Below are 21,118 nucleotides of genomic sequence, written 5' to 3' on the forward strand. Positions count from 1 at the left end.
TTTTGGTATCCCTCTGAGAAGAGGCCAATTCTCTGAAACAAGAGGCTGTCCACAGCTGGGTCACATACACTGAGTCTGAGTCTTCACACAGACCCATTAAAACTGTCCAGGCACAGATGAGAAGATAGAAAACAGCAGGGAAACAAGTGATTGCAATGCAAACTCTACCCAGACATACCCTGAGGTCTTAAGGAAGAAACTCCTAGCTAGCAGGGCTAGCAAAAGAATCAAGGAAGGTCTCTGTCCTGGCTTTTCTATTTATCACCCTAACATTTAACCTCCTTGATCAAGATCTTCTAGAACTTAATCCCCAGCATCCTTTGGTATTTGCTGTTATCAGGAACAATAATAATAATAGCAAAAAAACAAAAACAACTCTGTGTTTAATTGCAGGCTTACCATGTTCTTGTTATATACATGAATGACTAATATAGTTTATTTTATACTCTCTGCTTTTCTGAAAGGTAAGTATTATTATCCTCACTTTATGAATGAGAAAAATTAATCTCAACGTGATAAATAACTCTTAGCCTCTGATGAGACAAAGTAGAACTTGATTTCAAATGCATGCCTGTCTAATTTGAAAGAATGCATCCTTTGGAAAGGCTGTGATGCACTATTCCTTTTATTTGCCTTTTAACTTTAGGGAAAATGGTATGTCTACTCCTCTTTCCCTCAACAACTCCTGTAGCTTTCTTATTCTGCATCCTTGATTGCAAGCAGCATCTTCTTCTCACTCTTTCACTTATCTGATTTTTAATTATCATATCAAGTGAAACACCAAGACATCAGGCTGGGAGGAACTGTATCCAGCAGATTCAGGACCAGGAAGCAGCAAGCAGGTGACAAGCTCAGTATGATACAAAAGGCAGGGCCATGAAAGCTGCCATGCTCAGTGCTAGGAGGTGGCAGTGAGAGCTCTTATTGGTCCCAAGAGCAGGACATGGGAGGTGCCAACTCAGAGTCTAGAGGCTGAGCCCAGGATTAAGAGCCAGGGGAGCTGCCAAGTAATTGGAGACAGGAGCATGGGATGTATTTGCTGAAACAAGCTGTTTGGCCTGGAGAGCCGATGTGGGGCATCCAGGGAGTGCTGGAGTGGGAGCACTTTCTCAGCTGGCTCTTGTCCCACGCTGTCTTAAAGGCACTACCTGACAACTGATACTACCGGTCAGGCAAGGCCCATTTCAGGAAGTCCTCTGGAACCAGCCAGCAGACAGGGACACACTGATCCCTCCCTGGAGCACTTGTATCATCTGTTGTCGGCACTGCACACTTAGCTCTTAGCAAACGTCATGCTGTGTGGTTAGTTTTCAGTCCCCACCACTGTGATACAAGGTCCTAGAGGGCAGGCTGAGAGCAAGAATGCCAATTACACTTGTGAGTTGGCTTTCTCCATCCATTCCCTGGGCCTCTATCTGACCCTAAGTAAAATTTGTGAAAGTGGATTTTATCAACTAGCTCCAATAATTGTAGTTTTAGAATGATGTCCTCAAATGTCAGCTTGCCTGTGGATCTCTCTGTGTGCCTGTCCACTGCTAGCTCCTGGCTCCCCTCTCTGGTCACTCCTCATCACTCTTGGGCTCTGCCACTTTGCCACCTGGCGGTTGTCCACACACTCCTGCCTTCACCCTTTGCCTTCTGTTCCCCCTGCATAGAATGTATTTCCCCAGACATGGGTATGGCTTCTTTCACCACCATATTCAAGTATGTGCTTAAGTATCACCTTGTCAGTGAGGCTTTCCCTAACCTTCCTACCACCCTGGTTTATACTGCATAGACACCTGTGCTTCCTACGCCTTTGTATTTCCCCATAGAACTCAGCATGCGTCACCTTGCCATATACTTCACTCTCTCTCCCACAAGAATAGAAATTATAGGAGAAGAAGGATTTTTGGCTCTTTTTTTTTTATGGTCCCACCCCAGCCTTCCAAGTAGCTGAGACTAAAAATGCACACTACCATGCCCAGCTATTTTTTATTTTCTTTTTTTGTAGCAACAGGTTCTCCCTATGTTGCCCAGGCTGGTTGTGAACTTCTGGCCTCAAGCGTTCCTCCCACCTTAGCCTACCAAAACGCTGGGATTCCAGGTGTAAGTCACCACACCCAGCCAGATTTTTGTCCTTTTAACTTACTACTGTACTGTCTCTCCAACTCCTAGAACAGTGCCTGGCACAGAGAAGATACTCTATAAATATTTGGTGAATGAATGAGTAAGTATCAGCTGGGAAATGTCAAAATTCAGATATCTGAGACCCACTGATCCCAAATATTAATTACTTGGCTGACATTCTCCACAATCTGCCCTGAGTATTCCTTCCTCATCAGGGTAGACTCCTGCCTCCTTTCTCTGATACAGCTGAGTCCTGGGGCCAGGCAGGTCCATGCCATCTGCCAGGTTCCCCTGTACTTGCTGTGCTATCAGGTGCCATTGCTGCCTTCCAAGAATCCGTGGGTCAGCTTGACATTGTGGGTGGTGCAGTTGGGAGGGGAGGGACTGCATTCATTCTCTGGAGGCTGCATTCATTTCCTGGGCTGGCCACAGAGCCAGATGCCTGCAGGGTTCTCTCTTTGCCAGCAGCTCTTCAAAGACTTGTGAGCCCACTCAGCCCTCCAGAGACACTCTTCACTGCAAAGCCTCAGGCAGCCTAGCCAGGGGACCCTGGAGCTGATGCCACCTGGAATCCCTACCAAGTGTGCAAAGCAGCCACATTCTGGGACAGCTGGATTGGAGGAGGGAGCAGAGGCTGAGGTTGGCTTCCAAATCTTCCAAGCAGTGATCTTTTTAGTGAATTGCTTGAGGGTTCTCTGGCTAGACCTGGTGCAATTACTTGTGCTCCCCCTCCATGGAGTCTCTCTGTGCCTTTGGGACAGCCTCTCCCCCTTCTCACCATCATCTTTGGTGATTCATGGTTGTTTTCTGCCTATGGATCAGCTGTTCATTCCTGCTAAGGGTCCTATAATTAGACAGAGCACAAGAGCTACAGCTCCCTGTTTGTGTTTTGCCCAGAGAAGTCTCCAGGGACACTCAGACCCCTACCTACTCACTCTCAAATCTATTCACTGACTCCCACGTCAGAGAATAAAGATGAACAAAGATTGATCTCCCTAGCGGAGTCCCTCCTCCCACCTTTATGATTCCCTTCATCTTTCCCCTCCCCCAGACTGAATGTCAGTGTTTGAAAGCCAAGCTTAACCCTGGGGATTTGAGAGGGAGTGGCAGGGAATGGGTTTTACTCAGGTCAAAATGAGTCTAAAAGATACATAAGCTTAAGTGGACCTTCTTTCTTTATTTTTTTATTAAGTGGGAGGGAGTTAATTATCTCTCTCTGTGCCATAATTTCTATTCCTGTTTGCTGATCACCCCCACCCACCTTTTGAAATGAAGAGTAATACAGGAAAAAAACCTATATCCACGTTTGTATTAAGCAAATATTTTCTAACTTTTACACCCAGACTACCATCTACCATTATTCTTTGATGTCTGCAGGATTTTACTTATACATAGTAAGATATCAAAATAAGTGCTCTATTGATTGAGGACCTACTTCATATTGTCATTTTTCAGTCTGGAAAAGGTTACTTATAATATGACAGGGTAGGAATTTTGAGTGCCAGACAGTTAGTTCTTGTTGGTTTGTTTGTTTTTGTTTTGTTTTGTTTTTACAAGGAGAGAGGTAAAACTAACAAACAAAAAAATAACAACTAACAAAACACCTAGATATAACTGGTTGGGAGTGAAGACACTAACACTCATGGACATCAACACCTTGAAATCCCCTGTGTTGTCACAAAGATGATGCCACTGTACCTGGTGCTGTGAGGTGGTGAGTTGAGTTGTTTGGGGAATTTCCTATACACATTGCAAAGCCCTTGTGAGACATCTTCAGAAATGAGCAACTCAGCTCATGAAGTCAGAGCCAGTGAGGCCAGTTGACAAGCGATGGTGAAGTCCAGATCCCCACCTGCCTTCACTGGATAAAATGCCTTGTCACCATCCATTTCCACCATTCCCCACTCCCTCCTTGGACTACTCAGATATGCTTACTCCTGCAGTCCCAGCTGTAGAACTTTCCAGCCCTATGCATTCAGTTATCAATCAATGGAGATCTCAGCTGCACTTGGGCTGGAGCAGGACAAACCAGCCTTTCTTTATGCCAACAGGGAATGCTTGAAATAACTTGACACACAACTCTGATTGATGCAGCCACAGTTTACACTCCACACTTCAGACGGTTTGAAATGGCTAGAATTAATAGCCTATTATAAGATAGTAGGGGGGTGGGGGAGTTGGGGGTGGGAGGTCTGGGAAAGGGAGGCAGGAGAGAGAGAGAGACAAAAAAATACCTTTTTTATGATCTCCTAATTTAAATCTATTTATTTGATTTTTGCAGAGTGTGACATGAAGGGGGGTACTGGGAGGGGAGGATTGTTCTTATCACCCTGCTGTGAGTCCACTGGGGGGCTCCAGCCAGCTTGGCACCAACTTAATGCATTTTTCTAGTAAATGATGCGAATCCATGTGGCTGGGCAAGGAGGGGTTAAAGAGGCTAGGGAGTCAGGGACTGAGGGAGGGAAGAATGGCAATCGCTTGGTTCACTTGCTTTCATGCCAGGTTCTGCTAGCCAGCTGGAGAGAGGGGAAATGGAGTTTAAAACCCCTGGTAAGGAATTTTTCCTTGGTCTGAACATTGTTTAAATTCCTGAAGTGGGTGATCCCTGTAATAAATACCTTGGACTTTGTAAGACAGATATATTTACTCAAGTTTAAAGTTTGGATTTGATGGATATGCACTTGGGAATGCACGGGATCGGAGTGTTTGTTATAGGTTGGAACCCATTCAATGCGCACAAGGAGTTAAGAGAACTCCATTTATAGCAAAGCAGACTGTCTTCACCATTCTTTGTGGTCACTATGTCAAAGTCTGTACTTGATCCCTTATTTCGAATATCGTTGGCCCTCAAAAGACATTAAATGAGAAAGAGAATTTGGCCCAAGGTACTCAAAGCACTTTTTTAAGACTTATGTGCAAATGGAGCCTTGAACTAGGTCACCTGTCTTGTATGTAGGAAAACACTTCTTTGAGGAGAGAGTAGATAATATGAAGCAAAGGACAAAGATGAAGGTAGAGCCAGAAAGAGCTGAACACTCCAGCTTATGTTCTATTTTTCCTGTAATGTCACTGCCTCAGGACTGATTACATATTGTAAGAGAAAAAAATTCATCCTATCATTGGGAGTATGGAGTCTCACAGGACACAATGCCTTTTGTCCAGATTGAAACACTTGCTATTCCCCTAAAGAATGTTACTCAATCCTATAACTTAAAACAAGCAAGCCAGGTAATTCCAAGAAGGCCAGGTTGGAGTTTCCAGGAACTCATGCCAACTTTGCCCTCCTTGACTGTAGAATCGTAGGGATTTCCCCAGAGCCCCCAGGTGAAAGGCCCCCCTGCCCTTTTCTCCTTGGTGAATGACATGATTCCAGCCTGACCGGCAGAGTGAACAGTTGACTAGCCACCACGGATTCTGTTCAACCATTTGGTTTGGTTTTCCCAAGGGGGTTCCCATCTAACCACAGGCCTATGCCAGAGCTACATGATCTTGCCAAGCTTCACGGGGTCCATGTTTAAGGGGGTGCAGCCTCAGGCCACTGTGTGCATGCCCTTCTGCCACTGCCCAACAACACAGATGGAATTTTGGTTTCCCAGCATGGGAATGAATGCCCATTTTCCATGATGCATATGTGTGATGTGAAAAATCATCTCACCTTGGGCTTAAATAGGCCTCTCAGAAGCAAGAGCCAAGTACAAGCTGGAGACTCCTGTTCCATCTTCCCTGTTGAAATAGGTTACAAGGGAATATTTTTCATAATCCACTTACAATGAATTTTCCTGCTTTGGCTGATGCTCAAGCCCACACATCAGTGACTCCCACGTTCCAGATGACTTAGTTGCAGGAATCAGAATGTGCCTCACAAAATAAAAGATCAATATAACATTTGTTTGAGAAACCACATTCCTCTTATAGGCTGAAGTACGTGATGTCTGCAACAGCAGAAATAAAGATGTGAAAATATTATTTTCTATGATATTGGTATTTTAACTGCCTAAGCTCCTAATTTTACTATAACTGCCAACATAGGTTTTTGTTTTTGTTTTTGTTTTGTTTTGTTTTGTTTTGTTTGTTTTTGTGAGATCCTGGGATTTATTTTAATACATTATTAATATTTAAGTTATTTTTTATGCAATATTCTCCAATTAAGTTCATTATTTAGTTAGGATTTCACTGTCACTTGAGGAATGTCACAATGGAATTGGTTATAAATGCAGAATAACTGCTAAAGAAATTTACCAATTTTTCTTGTGTATTAATGTAACCAGCCCTTAAAATTGATTGCCAGTCTTTTGGGGGTAGCAGGATGTCATTCGCCCTCCCTTGGAAGTCCATACCAACTTTGTCTTCACCAAGTTGAAAAGTCCTAAAAGGTTGTAGGATTCTTCAGAGGGAGAGGTGCAGACTTAGGTGAACTGGGCCTGGATTAAACTCTGATGAGACCCCAGAATGATCTGATCCATCAGTCTGCTTCATGTATCGTATGACTTGAGGGCACCAAGAGAATCATAAGAACTGCTTCAAAAATTTAAAATAGTTATTTGGGGGACATTCATTTAAATATGCCCCGCTATAAATCATATCATTAGATACGTAAAGTTCCCAATATAATTTGGCAACATAAGCTAATTTTGCTGATGTAAACACATTTTAGCCTGTGGATTCCTGAATACATAGAGTGCTAACCTAGATTCAGACTCGAGGCTGCATGTGGAGAATCTCAAAGGTAGGAGCTGTGAATTCAGCAGTTGTTTATTAGAATTAAAGTCACTTAAAATCTATACTTAAGAAGGTACTTAAAAATTCTCTAGGCTTTTCCCAAATCAGACTCTCTCGGTGTGGGCCTGAGGATCTATATATTTTTAAAATTCAACCTTGAAGAATGAGTAGGATTTTTAACCTCAGGGTGGGCGGGAATGACATTCCAGGGGGCATGATGGTTTAGTTGAAAGGCATGGGTCAAGGAAAGATAATGCGTTTCATTTACCTGGTTTTTGCAGCAGAACTTCTCAGACGTTTAATATGCTGATGGACATCATAAAGCATTTGAAGGGTGCAACGTGTAGCATTTGCCAAACCTATTTGAACATGTTTCTTGATCATAGGATAAATGTCCCTTAAAACAGATTTTGAGAAATTCTATTATTAATATTAAGTTATTTTCTACGCAATATTCTCCAATTAAGTTCATTATTTAGGTGAGATTTCACTGTCACTTAAGGAAAGTAACAATGGAATCGATTATAAATGCAGAATAACTGCTAAAGAAATTTCCAGTTACTAATTTTTCTTGTGTATTAATGTAGCCAGCCCTTAAAATTGGTTATCAGTTTTTTGAGGGTGGTGAGATGTCATTCACCCTCCTCTGCAAATCCATACCAACTTTATTTTAACCAGGCTCTAAAGCATATTTGAACATGTTTCATGATCATAGGTCAAATATCCCTTAAAACATACTTCAGGAAATTCTAGGCTTAGGAAAGGAGAAGACAAAGTAGAGAGACTCCCTGTTAACACTTTCTAAGCTTTTAGTCACACAAGGGCATGGAAAACAAACTCTCCTGTGTTTTCTTAGCCAGGAGAAATAGGCCAGGCTCCTGCCAGTCATCATTGCTCTTTTGGTGCTGACCTGGCCTTGTTTGGTACATCCCTGCCCTGTTTGAAATGCAGTACTCCTGCTCCAGACAACTTGAAGAACGGAACGCATTTTTTCAAAGTGCTAGAGGGGGGATAAAAAAACAGGCAAAAATTGAGACAAGAGCCATTTGTAGGGCAGCAGAATGAGCTTTGGCTTTTCTGCCCCTAGCTCGGGCTGGGAAAACACAGAGACCTGAAGGAGCTGAATGTTAGGAAGAAAGGCCATCTGAGGCATGAATTTTAATCCCTGCTTGGCTTCTTGCAAACTGTGTGACCTCAAGCAAGTCACTTTACCAGTCCAAATCTTGGTTGCTTCATCTGTAAAACTGAGTTGTCTACCTACATAGGAGTTCTCTAAGGAACCAATGAAATCATATTTGTAAGACGCCCAGAACAGAGCCTGGTGTTTAGTGGACACATACTAAGCCTAATAAAGCATTCCTTCCTTCCTTCCCAAAATCTGGAAGCAATTTTCTTTAAGCTGACTTTGATTCAAGAAGCATTCATCGCACATTCTATTATATGAAAACCAGTAGATTGAGCTCATCTCATAGCTTGATGTCTAACCAGGGAAGGTGTTCGATAAATACTTTTGTATGACTGAATACTCGTATGTGAATAAATAAGTCAACAAAGAGAACCATAGATTCACAGAGGAAGAAGTGATTTCTGGGGGATGCATGTAGCCTTCTATTCCTCTTCTCATACATGGAGTATTGGTGGGCACTCTTCTGGCCTCTCTTTCTACCCTTTACTCAACCTGCTCCAAGAGAGAAGTGTAGTTACTCTGATAGTTCACTAGACCACATTTTTCTAGGAGGCAAGGTCATATTCTGTCTCTGAGCTACAAGTAGAATACAGCCAAATTTAGCAGACCTGCCATTCTTTGTTCTATCTGTTGCTAGGCGTGTCAGCGTGTCTGTGGTCCTCATCCATGTTTATGGCTGTGTAAGGGTACTCAAGGTCTCTTCTGTAAGCCCATTCTTACCTCCTCACATTACCCAAATGTGCAAACCCTAAGATTCAGGCTAGAAGCCTTCATCTGAGCCTCAGGCATCCACATAACATTCAACTAAGCAGTTAAAACGAACTTTATTATAGAGATGACACTACTGAAAATCACCAGAGTAAAGTATTTGGCATCTAATTTATAAAATGAAATCATAGGTTCCCCCAGTATGTAGTGTTTTCATTGGTAAAACAATTATACTGTTTTCAATCCTTATTAACTCTCCTACAGGCAACATATATTGGTATTCCCCATGACAACATAATTAGTATTCTAAGCATATTTTTCACCAGCTGCTTATGTCTTCAAGTTAAAAGTCAACAGCTAAATATATAAAATGGAAAAAGCATAAACAGTAAAATTGATTTTAGTACTCAGAATGACTTGATTATCTATATTTATAGTGGTAATTAGAGAAAGACTTAATGCCTTATATAATCAGTTCTTTATTGAAAGTTTCATGACACAGGACTTGATGCTAATTTACCTTGTAGCATCGAGGAAGGAGTGCTGTTCTCTAAGCCACACCAATGGCTTTAGCTTCTAGGTTCATTAACTACAAAACATGTTGCCTTACATTATGTGTAGCACATTAAGGGCTCTTTATTGAGCAACTTTCAAAGGCAGTTTCTATTCCAAGTTGCTAACATAATATATGCCTTTCCCCAGAGTCCAGTTGGCTGTTTGAGTCTAGGGAATGAGTGATGCTCTTTGTTATTAGAAAAGTAATGTTAATTCTGTATAATGTCAATATATCTATAGCATAACACAGCGAAGAAGTTTCATTTTTCTTGCATGAATGCCTTTTTATCTGGAAAGTTTTAGAGCTATTCCTACATATTTTTAAAATTCTTTTTGTATTCTGATCTCCAGGACTGGAGGATTTCCCCCAAAGCTTTTTTAAAAAAAGTACACATTTTCATAATAGCAATAACTACTAGTTATCAAGCACGTACTGTGTGCCAAATCCTTTACAAAGCACTTTATATAAATAGTGTGTCATTTCTTCTTTGCAACAACCTGACAAGGAAGGCACTGTTATGTGTCTGTTTTACAGATGATGAAACTGAGGCTTAGAAAGATGAAGTGACTAACCTAAGATGACACGACAATAAGTGGGAGCACTACTAGTTAAGCTCAGGTAGGCTGGCTTTCGAGGATGAATTTCCAATCATCCATTACAGCTGTAGACCAGTCAAGTGCAACTTCCAGTGATCAGATCACTGCTTATTGCCTATTGTTTTCTTTCTCTTCTTAGCATGTACAACCATTACGTATGCATGTATGAATGCATATACACACATATGTCATATATGTACGTATATATGTTTTTATATGCTTATGTATAGAGGCATACTCATTTAATTGTGCCTTGTTTTATTGTGCTTTGCAGATATTGCATTTTTTACAAATTGAAGGTTTGTGACAACCCTGCAGTGAGCCTATGGGCATCATTTTTCCAATAGAATGTGCTAACTTCGTATCTCTGTGTCACATGTTGTTAATTCTCACAATATTTCAACCTTTTTTGCTATTATTTTATCTGTTGTGGTGATTTATGATCAGTGATCTTTGATGTTACCATTGTCATTGTTTTGGGGCATCACAAAGTGCTCCCATATGTGATAGCAAACTTAATCAACAAATGCATGTACTCTGACTGCTCTGCCAATGGGCCCTTCTGCCATCTGTCTCCTGTTCCTTGGATGTCCCTATTTCCTGAGACACAATACTGAGAATAGGCCAATTAATAACCCTACATTGGTCTGTTAGTGTTCAAGTTAAAGGAAGGGCCACTCATCTCTTACTTTAAATCAAAAGCTAGAAGTGATTCAGCTTAGTGAGGAAGGCAGGTCGAAAGCCAAGAGAGGCCAAAAGCTAAGTCTCTTGTGCCAAGCAGTAAGCCAAGTTGTAAATTCAAAGGGAAAATTCTTGAAGGAAATTAAAAGTACTACTCCAGTGAAAACACAAATGATAAGAAAGCAAAACAGCCTTATTGCTGATATGGAGAAGGTTTTAGTGGTTTGGATAGAAAATCAAACCAGACACAACATTTCCCAAAGACAAAACCTAGTCCAGAGCAAGACCCTAACTCTTTGAATTTTCTGAAATCTGGGAGAGGTGACAAAGCTGCAGAAGAATCATTTGAAACTAGAAGAGGTTGGTTCATGAGGTTTAAGTAAAGAAGCCATCTTCATAACATAAATGCAAAGTGAGGCAGCAAGTGCTGATGGAGAAGCTGCAGCAAGTAATTCTGAAGATCTAACTAAGATAATTGGTGAAATGGCTACACCAAACAACAGATTTTCAATGTAGGAAAACTAGCCTTCTATTGAAAGAAGATGCCATTCATGACATTTTTAGCTAGAGAATAGAAGTCAATGCCTGGCTTCAAAGGACAGGCCAACTCTCTCGTTAGAGGCCAATGCAGCTGGTGGTCAATGTCAAAGCCAGTGGACATTTATCATTCTGAAAATCCTAAGGCCCATAAGAATTAGACTAAATCTACTTTGCCTGTACTCTATAAATGGAATGAGAAAGCATGGATGACAGCACATCTGTTTACAGCATACGGTTTACTGAATATTTTAAGCCCACTATTGAAACATGCTGCTCAGAAGAAAAGATTTCTTTTAAAATATTACTGCTTATTGACAATGCAGCTCATCATCCAAGAGCTCTAATAGAGATCTGCAAAGGAGATTAATGTTGTTGTCATGCCTGCTAACACAGCATCCATTCTGCAACCCATGGATCGAGGAGTTATTTTGGCTTTCAACTCTTATTATTTAAGGAGTACATTTCATAAGGTTATAGTTACCATCAATAGCGATTCCTATGATGGATCCTGGCAGAGTACATTGACAAAATTCTGGAAAGGATTCATCATTCTAGATGCCATTAAGAACATCTATCATAAATGGAAGAAAGTCAAAATACCAACATTAGCCAGTGATATAGTTTGGATGTTTGTCCCCTCCAAATCTCATGTAGAAATGTGATCCCCAGTGTTGGAGGTGGAGCTTAGTGGGAGGTGATTGGATCATGCGGGCAGATCCCCCATGAATGGCTTAGCATCCCTTGGTAATGAGTGAGTTCTCTCAAAGTTAGTTCACATGAGATCTGGTTGGTTAACAGTCTGGGACCTCCCCTTTCTCACTCTTGCTCCCTCTCTTGCCATGTAATATGCCTGCTTTTGCTTCACCTTTTGCCATGAGTAAAAATTCCCTGAGACCTCACCAGAAGCCAAGCAGATGCTGGTGCCATGCTTCCTATACAGCCTGAAGAACTGTGAGTGAATTAAACCTCTTTTCTCTATACATTACCCAGTCTCAGGTATATCTTTGTAACAATGCAAAAACAGACTAACACCACCAGCATTTGGAAGAAGTTGATCTCAGCCTTTGTGGATGACTTTGAGAAGCTCAACACTTCAGCGGATGAAGAAACTGCATATGTGGTACCAATATTAAGCAAACTAAAATTAGAAGTAAAGCCTTCAGATGTGACTGAATTACTGTCATCTCATGATACATCTTGAATGGATATTGAGTTGCTTCATATGAATAAGCAAAGAAAGTGGTTTCTTGCCATGGGATCCACTCTTTGGTGAATATGCTGTGAACGTTGTTGAAGTGACAATAAAGGATTTAGAAAATTACAAAAACTTACTTGAGAAAGCAGTGGCAGAGTTTGAGAGGATTGACTCTTATTTTGAAAGAAGTTCTGCTGTGGGTAAAATGCTATCTTTCTACAGCATTTTGTAGAAAGAAATATTTTGTGAAAGGAAAAGTCAATCAATGTGGGTGAACTTCATTGTTGTCTTATTTTAAGAAATTACCATACCCACTCCAGCCTTCAGCAACCACCACCCTGATCAGTCAGCAGCCAGCAACATAGAGGCAAGACCCTTCACCAGCAAAAAGGTTAAGACTTGCTGAAGACTCAGAGATGATTGTATGCAATTTTAAACAATATTTTAAATTAAGATATGTACATTATTTTTTAGACATAATGCTGTTGCACAATTAATAGACCACAGTATATTGTGAATATAACTTTTATATGCACTGGGAAACAAAAAAATTAATGCGACTTGTTTTACTGTGAGATTTGCTTCATTGGAACTCAACCTGCCCTATCCCAAGGTAGGCCTGTTTCCTACATGCAGATGATATTAACTTTGATTTTGATATTCAAAACCACTTAATTATATTTGTTGCTGTAATTCCTCAAGGCATATACACATATGCACTCCTTTGTGCTTCAGTGTCATTTGAGAAAAGTTTCAAACTTTTTAAATATAAATCATCATTCTCGTGATCTCATTTGATCCTCAGATCTGCCCTGAGAGGTCGGTACATCCTGTGCTATTGTCTCATCTGAGAAATGAAGCGACACGTCCAAGGTCAGTTCACCACTTGTGGTAAAACTCAAACCAGAACTCCCCCTCAGCTGTTACGCCAGAGTGTTAAAGTACTGTGCTGTCTTCCACAGATCCTCAGGCACAGAATAACACTCTGGGCTGCACATGAGCTAACAGAAGGAAATAAAATGTCAACTCTTTCAAGTAAGCGATGGAACAGGAATCTCAGGCACAGTGCTCATGTAATACCATTTCATGGGTGAATTTGTCTTTTTTGTGGAGAATCCGCCATCTTTGCTTTTTATCAATCTCTGTCCACGTAGTTAACTAGTTCACCTTGTACCACCTTGAAACCCTGACCTAAACTCCAATCCCAAATGTCATCCCAGGGTGTTATATGGTACATATATACTGATGTGACTTCCCCCACTAGATTGTGAGTTCACTCCTGTGATCCAGTTTTCAGCATAGAGCCTGACAGTAGAAGGTCTCAAATATTTATCCATTCATGTATTTGTTCTGCATAAATTTTTGCTGAATTTACTGGCAATTGGAAAAGAAATGGAGAAATAGAAAAGGAAAAAAGTTTGAGACATAAATCCCAGTTTTAATTATTTTGCCATAGGACAGGGTCTCCATAACCTTTATAACCCCCCTTCCCATAATACCAAACTTTGTGTGGAAAAACATCCCTAAGAGCTTCTCTGTCGAAGAATGGGTCAGAGCAGGGCTGGTTGTTCCAAAAATGGCCTACAAATATGTTCTTTGGGGACTTAATGTGCCCTCCAGGACAGTGGGACCTATAAAACTTGTAGGAGGGAATTCTAGGGAGGAGACTAACATGGCAAAGCAAACTGCTCCCTCCCACCACAGAGTTAAAAACAATGTCCAGCCTTTAAGTTGTGGGAAAGAGAATGGTGAAATCATTCTCTGTCTGGCACAAGTTGCAGACTATTAAGTCGTTTGGGAAATGTGGACTTGTACCAATCTACGAGATTGGCCATGGCCATTTTAATATGTTTTTGAAAATCAGCAAGTGCTTAAAAACTTGTAGTAAAAGCCCTAATAAACTAAATTCGACCAGGACTCTGCCAGAATTGTATTTACCTCCTGAAGTGGAGGGTTAGGAAACCGCATTAAAAATTAAAGTGAAAAAAAAAATAAGAAAAAGCAATAGACCCATTAGTTTGGGCAGTTGTTTGGTCAAAAGAATTAACTGTCCACTCTCAAAGGCAGCTCATGTTTCAAGTGAGAGGTGAGTTTGTTTGATGGCACGCAGTTACAAATAATGCCATCTCCCCGCTTTCTACTTTTGTTTTGTTTTACAAGTCTTATTTGTTTTTACAAGGGTAAGTTTGGAGGGGGGTGGGTAGTTACTGTAGCCAGAAGAATAAATGCTTTGTGCATTGTGCATGCCCATGTAGTATACTGAACAAGTACTAATAAGAATAAAATTATTGGAGCAAATAAAATCACATATGCTTTTTAGTCACCTGGGAGAGGGGCCGTGCCAGCCTTCTTGAGCATATAAAAATAATAATTCCTCACATCTGAATAGCATTATAGAACTTATAAAGCCCTTTCACTTATATTATCATGTTTGATCCTCAATAACGTGAGTTAAGAATGATCTGTGTTGTGATACCATTTTACAGTTCAAGAGAGGTTAAGCGGCTTGTCCAAGCAGCTACTAAGAATTGATCAGTCAGTGATTCCAACAACATCCTGGTGCCAGAGCATTCCACGTTGTCCACTGTGACGCAAAAGAGCAAAAATGTATGAATCGTAGCAAAAATCTCTAAGGTCATTTTGTGTAGAAGAAAACTATTTGGCACAGGAAATGACTTATCCCCTGGCTCCCTAGCTATCAGAGAAATGGTCTACACCAGGAAAAGAGCACAGTGCTAAGGATCACATACAGCCTGATTCAGGCACAGACTAGCTGCGTGTTGCTTAGGACACACTTGCAAAATGAGGAACTAGTGTATGGCATCCTGTTACCTAAAGGTGTTGTTAAAAATCGCACGGGGCTGTAGATGGACAAAAACAAGAAACGGGGAAAGGATTCCCTATTTAATAAATGGTGCTGGGAAAACTGGCTAGCCATATGTAGAAAGCTGAAACTGGATCTCTTCCTTACACCTTATACAAAAATTAATTCAAGATGGATTAAAGACCTAAATGTTAGACCTAAAACCATAAAAACCCTAGAAGAAAACCTAGGCAGTACCATTCAGGACATAGGCATGGGCAAGGACTTCATGTCTAAAACACCAAAAGCAATGGCAACAAAAGCCAAAATTGACAAATGGGATCTAATTAAACTAAGGAGCGTCTGCACAACAAAAGAAACTACCATCAGAGTGAACAGGCAACCTACACAATGGGAGAAAAATTTTGCAATCTACCTATCTGACAAAGGGCTAATATCCAGAATCTAAAAAGAACTTAAACAAATTTGCAAGAAAAAATCAAACAACCCCATCAAAAAGTGGGCAAAGGATATGAACAGACACTTCTCAAAAGAAGACATTTATGGAGCCAACAGACACATGAAAAAATGCTCATCATCACTGGCCATCAGAGAAATGCAAATCAAAACCACTATGAGATACCATCTCATACCAGTTAGAATGGCGATCATTAAAAAGTCAGGAAACAACAGGTGCTGGATAGGATGTGGAGAAATAGGAATACTTTTACACTGTTGGTGGGACTGTAAACTAGTTCAACCATTGTAGAAGACAGTGTGGTGATTCCTCAAGGATCTAGAACTAGAAATGCCATTTGACCCAGTCATCTCATTACTGGGTATATACCCAAATGACTATAAATCATGCTGCTATAAAGACACATGCACATGTTTATTGTGGCACTGTGCACAACAGCAAAGACTTGGAACCAACCCAAATGTCCATCAATGATAGACTGGATTAAGAAAATGTGGCACATATACACTATGGAATACTATGCAGCCATAAAAAAGGATGAGTTCATGTCCTTTATAGGGACATGGATGAAGCTGGAAACCATCATTCTGAGCAAACTATCGCAAGGACAGAAAACCAAACACTGCATGTTCTCACCCATAGGTGGGAATTGAACAATGAGAACACTTGGACACAGGTTGGGGAACATGACACACCGGGGCCTGTCGTGGGGTAGGGGGTGGGGGAGGGCTAGCATTAGGAGATATACTGAATGTAAATCACAAGTTAACGGGTGCAGCACACAAACATGGCACTTGTATACATATGTAACAAACCTGCACGTTGTGCACATGTACCCTAGAACTTAAAGTATAAGAATCAAAAATAAATAAATAAATAAATAAATACATTGCATGAGGCTAATGTAAGTTACTGTGCCTTTTGATATTGCCTGAGAACTCACTGGCTTTGAGGTAGCTTTTTCTATCTATATTAATGAGGAGCTGGTGGGTTAATTTCCCAGTGTTTCTGTAACAAGTTATCCAAAACTTAATGGCTTTAAACAACGTAAATTTATTCTCACAGTTCTGGAACCAGAAGTCTAAAATCAAAATGTCATTGATTTTGAAAAAGGCAAGGAAGAGGAATCTCTCTTAAAATCTTCTTCCTTCTAGGGGGTTTAAAAGATGTTCCTCTTCCTTGCCTTTTTCAGCTTCTAGAGGCTGCTTATGAAATAATAAGAGATAATAATTATTTTAAGTATTAAATAAGTATATGTTTCTTAAATATGTGTATGCATATGCATTTCTTATTATATATAAGAAATAAAATAAGATGTATATGTGTGTGTGTGTGTGTATGTGTGTGTGTGTGTGTGTATATATATATATATATATATATATATATATATATGAAATATCCATATTGGTCTCTGCTCCCAGTTATTTACACAGAGCTCTTGAAACACGTATGCTTTTCTGAGTGACAGGGGTATTAGAATCATCTTTTGTGCTAATATTTGGTCTCTGACCTGGTCTTTGACACAGAACTCCTAAATCCCTCAGAATATCCTGGGTGATAGGAGTGTCTTTTGCCCTAATGAGGCAACTCTTGATGAGCTCCTAGATGGCTTCAGGATGGGGGCTAGTCACCAGAAAGACCAAACCTTGATTAGAAGCTCAAAATTTTCAGTCCCATTTCCCCATCCTCTAAGGAGAGCATAGGGACTGGAGACAGAGTTAATCAATCCTGCCTATGTGGTGAAGCCTCTGTAAATATCCCTGAACTACAGCTTCTGGGTTGGTGAACACATAGGGGTACTGGGAGGGTGGTGCATCTCGAGGCAACATAAAAACCCCACACCTCTTCCCTATACCTGGCCCTTTGCATCTCTTCCATCTGGCTGTTCCTGAGTTGTATTCTTTATAATCAACTAGTAAACCTAAGTAAGTAAATGTTGCCCTGACTTTTTTTTTTTTTTTTTTGAGACGGAGTCTCGCTCTGTCGCCCAGGCTGGAGTGCAGTGGCGGGATCTCGGCTCACTGCAAGCTCCGCCTCCCGGGTTCACGCCATTCTCCTGCCTCAGCCTCCCAAGTAGCTGGGACTACAGGCGCCCGCCACTACGCCTGGCTAATTTTTTGTATTTTTAGTAGAGACGGGGTTTCACCGTTTTAGCCAGGATGGTCTCGATCTCCTGACCTCGTGATCCGCCCGCCTCGGCCTCCCAAAGTGCTGGGATTACAGGCGTGAGCCACCGCGCCCGGCCTGCCCTGACTTTTTGTGAGCCATTATAGCAAAGTATCAAATGTGAGGAAGGGGATGCAGGGACCCTCACTTTATAGCCAGTTGGTCAGAAGTGCAGGTGATAACCTGGGACTTTTGGGATCTGAAGTTGGATACAGTCTCATGGGACTGAACCCTTTAACTGTGGGATCTAATGCCAGCTTATGATTGATAAACAGCTCCAAAAACACTATCTGCAAAGTCCCTTTTATCATATAATGTTGCACATTCACAGGTTTCAGATATTAGGACTTGGACATCTTTGAGGGGGCTATGATTCAGCCTACCCCAGCTGGAATAAACAAAACTTCAGTCTGAACTTGTAATTCTGCTCTATCATTCATAAATACAATTCTAAGGCTTGTGGTTTCAATGGAACAAAATAGAGAGCACGGAAGTCAACCCACATAAATATAGTCAACTGATCTTTGACCAAGAAGCAAAGGCATTATCATGACAAAAAGACAGCCCTTTCAACAAATGATGCTGGGACAACTGGACATCCATGTGCAAAAAAAAAAAAAAGTATTCTCTGATGGTAGTTTGTATTTCTGTGGGATCGGTGGTGATATCCCCTTTATCATTTTTTATTGTGTCTATTTGATTCTTCTCTCTTTTTTTCTTTATTAGTCTTGCTAGCGGTCTATCAATTTTGTTGATCCTTTCAAAAAACCAGCTCCTGGATTCATTGATTTTTTGAAGGGTTTTTTTGTGTCTCTATTTCCTTCAGTTCTGCTCTGATTTTAGTTATTTCTTGCCTTCTGCTAGCTTTTGAATGTGTTTGCTCTTGCTTTTCTAGTTCTTCTAATTGTGATGTTAGGGTGTCAATTTTGGATCTTTCCTGCTTTCTCTTGTGGGCATTTAGTGCTATAAATTTCCCTCTACACACTGCTTTGAATGCGTCCCAGAGATTCTGGTATGTTGTGTCTTTGTTCTCGTTGGTTTCAAAGAACATCTTTATTTCTGCCTTCATTTCGTTATGTACCCAGTAGTCATTCAGGAGCAGGTTGTTCAGTTTCCATGTAGTCGAGCGGCTTTGAGTGAGATTCTTAATCCTGAGTTCTAGTTTGATTGCACTGTGGTCTGAGAGATAGTTTGTTATAATTTCTGTTCTTTTACATTTGCTGAGGAGAGCTTTACTTCCAAGTATGTGGTCAATTTTGGAATAGGTGTGGTGTGGTGCTGAAAAAAATGTATATTCTGTTGATTTGGGGTGGAGAGTTCTGTAGATGTCTATTAGGTCCGCTTGGTGCAGAGCTGAGTTCAATTCCTGGGTATCTTTGTTGACTTTCTGTCTCGTTGATCTGTCTAATGTTGACAGTGGGGTGTTAAAGTCTCCCATTATTAATGTTTGGGAGTCTAAGTCTCTTTGTAGGTCACTCAGGACTTGCTTTATGAATCTGGGTGCTCCTGTATTGGGTGCATATATATTTAGGATAGTTAGCTCCTCTTGTTGAATTGATCCCTTTACCATTATGTAATGGCCTTCTTTGTCTCTTTTGATCTTTGTTGGTTTAAAGTCTGTTTTATCAGAGACTAGGATTGCAACCCCTGCCTTTTTTTGTTTTCCATTTGCTTGGTAGATCTTCCTCCATCCTTTTATTTTGAGCCTATGTGTGTCTCTGCACGTGAGATGGGTTTCCTGAATACAGCACACTGATGGGTCTTGACTCTTTATCCAACTTGCCAGTCTGTGTCTTTTAATTGGAGCATTTAGTCCATTTACATTTAAAGTTAATATTGTTATGTGTGAATTTGATCCTGTCATTATGATGTTAGCTGGTGATTTTGCTCGTTAGTTGATGCAGTTTCTTCCTAGTCTCGATGGTCTTTACATTTTGGCATGATTTTGCAGTGGCTGGTACCGGTTGTTCCTTTCCATGTTTAGCGCTTCCTTCAGGAGCTATTTTAGGGCAGGCCTGATGGTGACAAAATCGGTCAGCATTTGCTTGTCTGTAAAGTATTTTATTTCTCCTTCACTTATGAAGCTTAGTTTGGCTGGATATGAAATTCTGGGTTGAAAATTCTTTTCTTTAAGAATGTTGAATATTGGCCCCCACTCTCTTCTGGCTTGTAGGGTTTCTGCCGAGAGATCCGCTGTTAGTCTGATGGGCTTCCCTTTGAGGGTAACCCGACCTTTCTCTCTGGCTGCCCTTAACATTTTTTCCTTCATTTCAACTTTGGTGAATCTGACAATTATGTGTCTTGGAGTTGCTCTTCTCGAGGAGCATCTTTGTGGCGTTCTCTGTATTTCCTGAATCTGAATGTTGGCCTGCCTTGCTAGATTGGGGAAGTTCTCCTGGATAATATCCTGCAGAGTGTTTTCCAACTTGGTTCCATTCTCCGCATCACTTTCAGGTACACCAATCAGACGTAGATTTGGTCTTTTCACATAGTCCCATATTTCTTGGAGGCTTTGCTCATTTCTTTTTATTCTTTTTTCTCTATACTTCCCTTCTCGCTTCATTTCATTCATTTCATCTTCCATTGCTGATACCCTTTCTTCCAGTTGATCGCATCGGCTCCTGAGGCTTCTGCATTCTTCACGTAGTTCTCGAGCCTTGGTTTTCAGCTCAATGCAACAGAACAGAGCCCTCAGAAATAACGCTGCTTACCTACAACTATCTGATCTTTGACAAACCTGAGAAAAACAAGCAATGGGGAAAGGATTCCCTATTTAATAAATGGTGCTGGGAAAACTGGCTAGCCATATGTAGAAAGCTGAAACTGGATCCCTTCCTTACACCTTATACAAAAATTAATTCAAGATGGATTAAAGATTTAAATGTTAGACCTAAAACCATAAAAACCCTAGAAGAAAACCTAGGCATTACCATTCAGGACATAGGCGTGGGCAAGGACTTCATGTCCAAAACACCAAAAGCAATGGCAACAAAAGCCAAAATTGACAAATGGGATCTAATTAAACTAAAGAGCTTCTGCACAGCAAAAGAAACTACCATCAGAGTGAACAGGCAACCTACAACATGGGAGAAAATTTTCGCAACCTACTCATCTGACAAAGGGCTAATATCCAGAATCTACAATGAACTCAAACAAATTTACAAGAAAAAAACAAACAACCCCATCAAAAAGTGGGCGAAGGACATGAACAGACACTTCTCAAAAGAAGACATTTATGCAGCCAAAAAACACATGAAAAAATGCTCATCATCACTGGCCATCAGAGAAATGCAAATCAAAACCACTATGAGATATCATCTCACACCAGTTAGAATGGCAGTCATTAAAAAGTCAGGAAACAACAGGTGCTGGAGAGGATGT

General features: G+C 40.7%; 1 protein-coding gene across 9 annotated transcripts in view; it reads left to right on the top strand.

Moving 5' to 3' along the window:
* Window positions 1–21,118, top strand: part of ANKFN1 (ankyrin repeat and fibronectin type III domain containing 1) — a 470,940-nt gene that overhangs the window by 125,577 nt on the left and 324,245 nt on the right. For 3 of the 9 annotated variants that reach the window (XM_017024263.2, XM_011524430.3, NM_001365758.1), the window contains exon 2: window positions 13,096–13,163. The exons of 5 other annotated variants lie outside the window; for them this stretch is intronic. The gene's annotated coding sequence lies outside the window, so the exon portion shown is untranslated. Of the gene's footprint in view, window positions 1–9,590; window positions 9,897–13,095; window positions 13,164–21,118 lie in introns of those variants that run through there. One more of the 9 variants, XM_017024265.3, reaches the window with a different exon arrangement.

This window comes from Homo sapiens, chromosome 17 (genome assembly GCF_000001405.40).
Source record: "Homo sapiens chromosome 17, GRCh38.p14 Primary Assembly".
In the NCBI taxonomy this organism is placed as follows: Eukaryota; Metazoa; Chordata; class Mammalia; order Primates; family Hominidae; genus Homo; species Homo sapiens.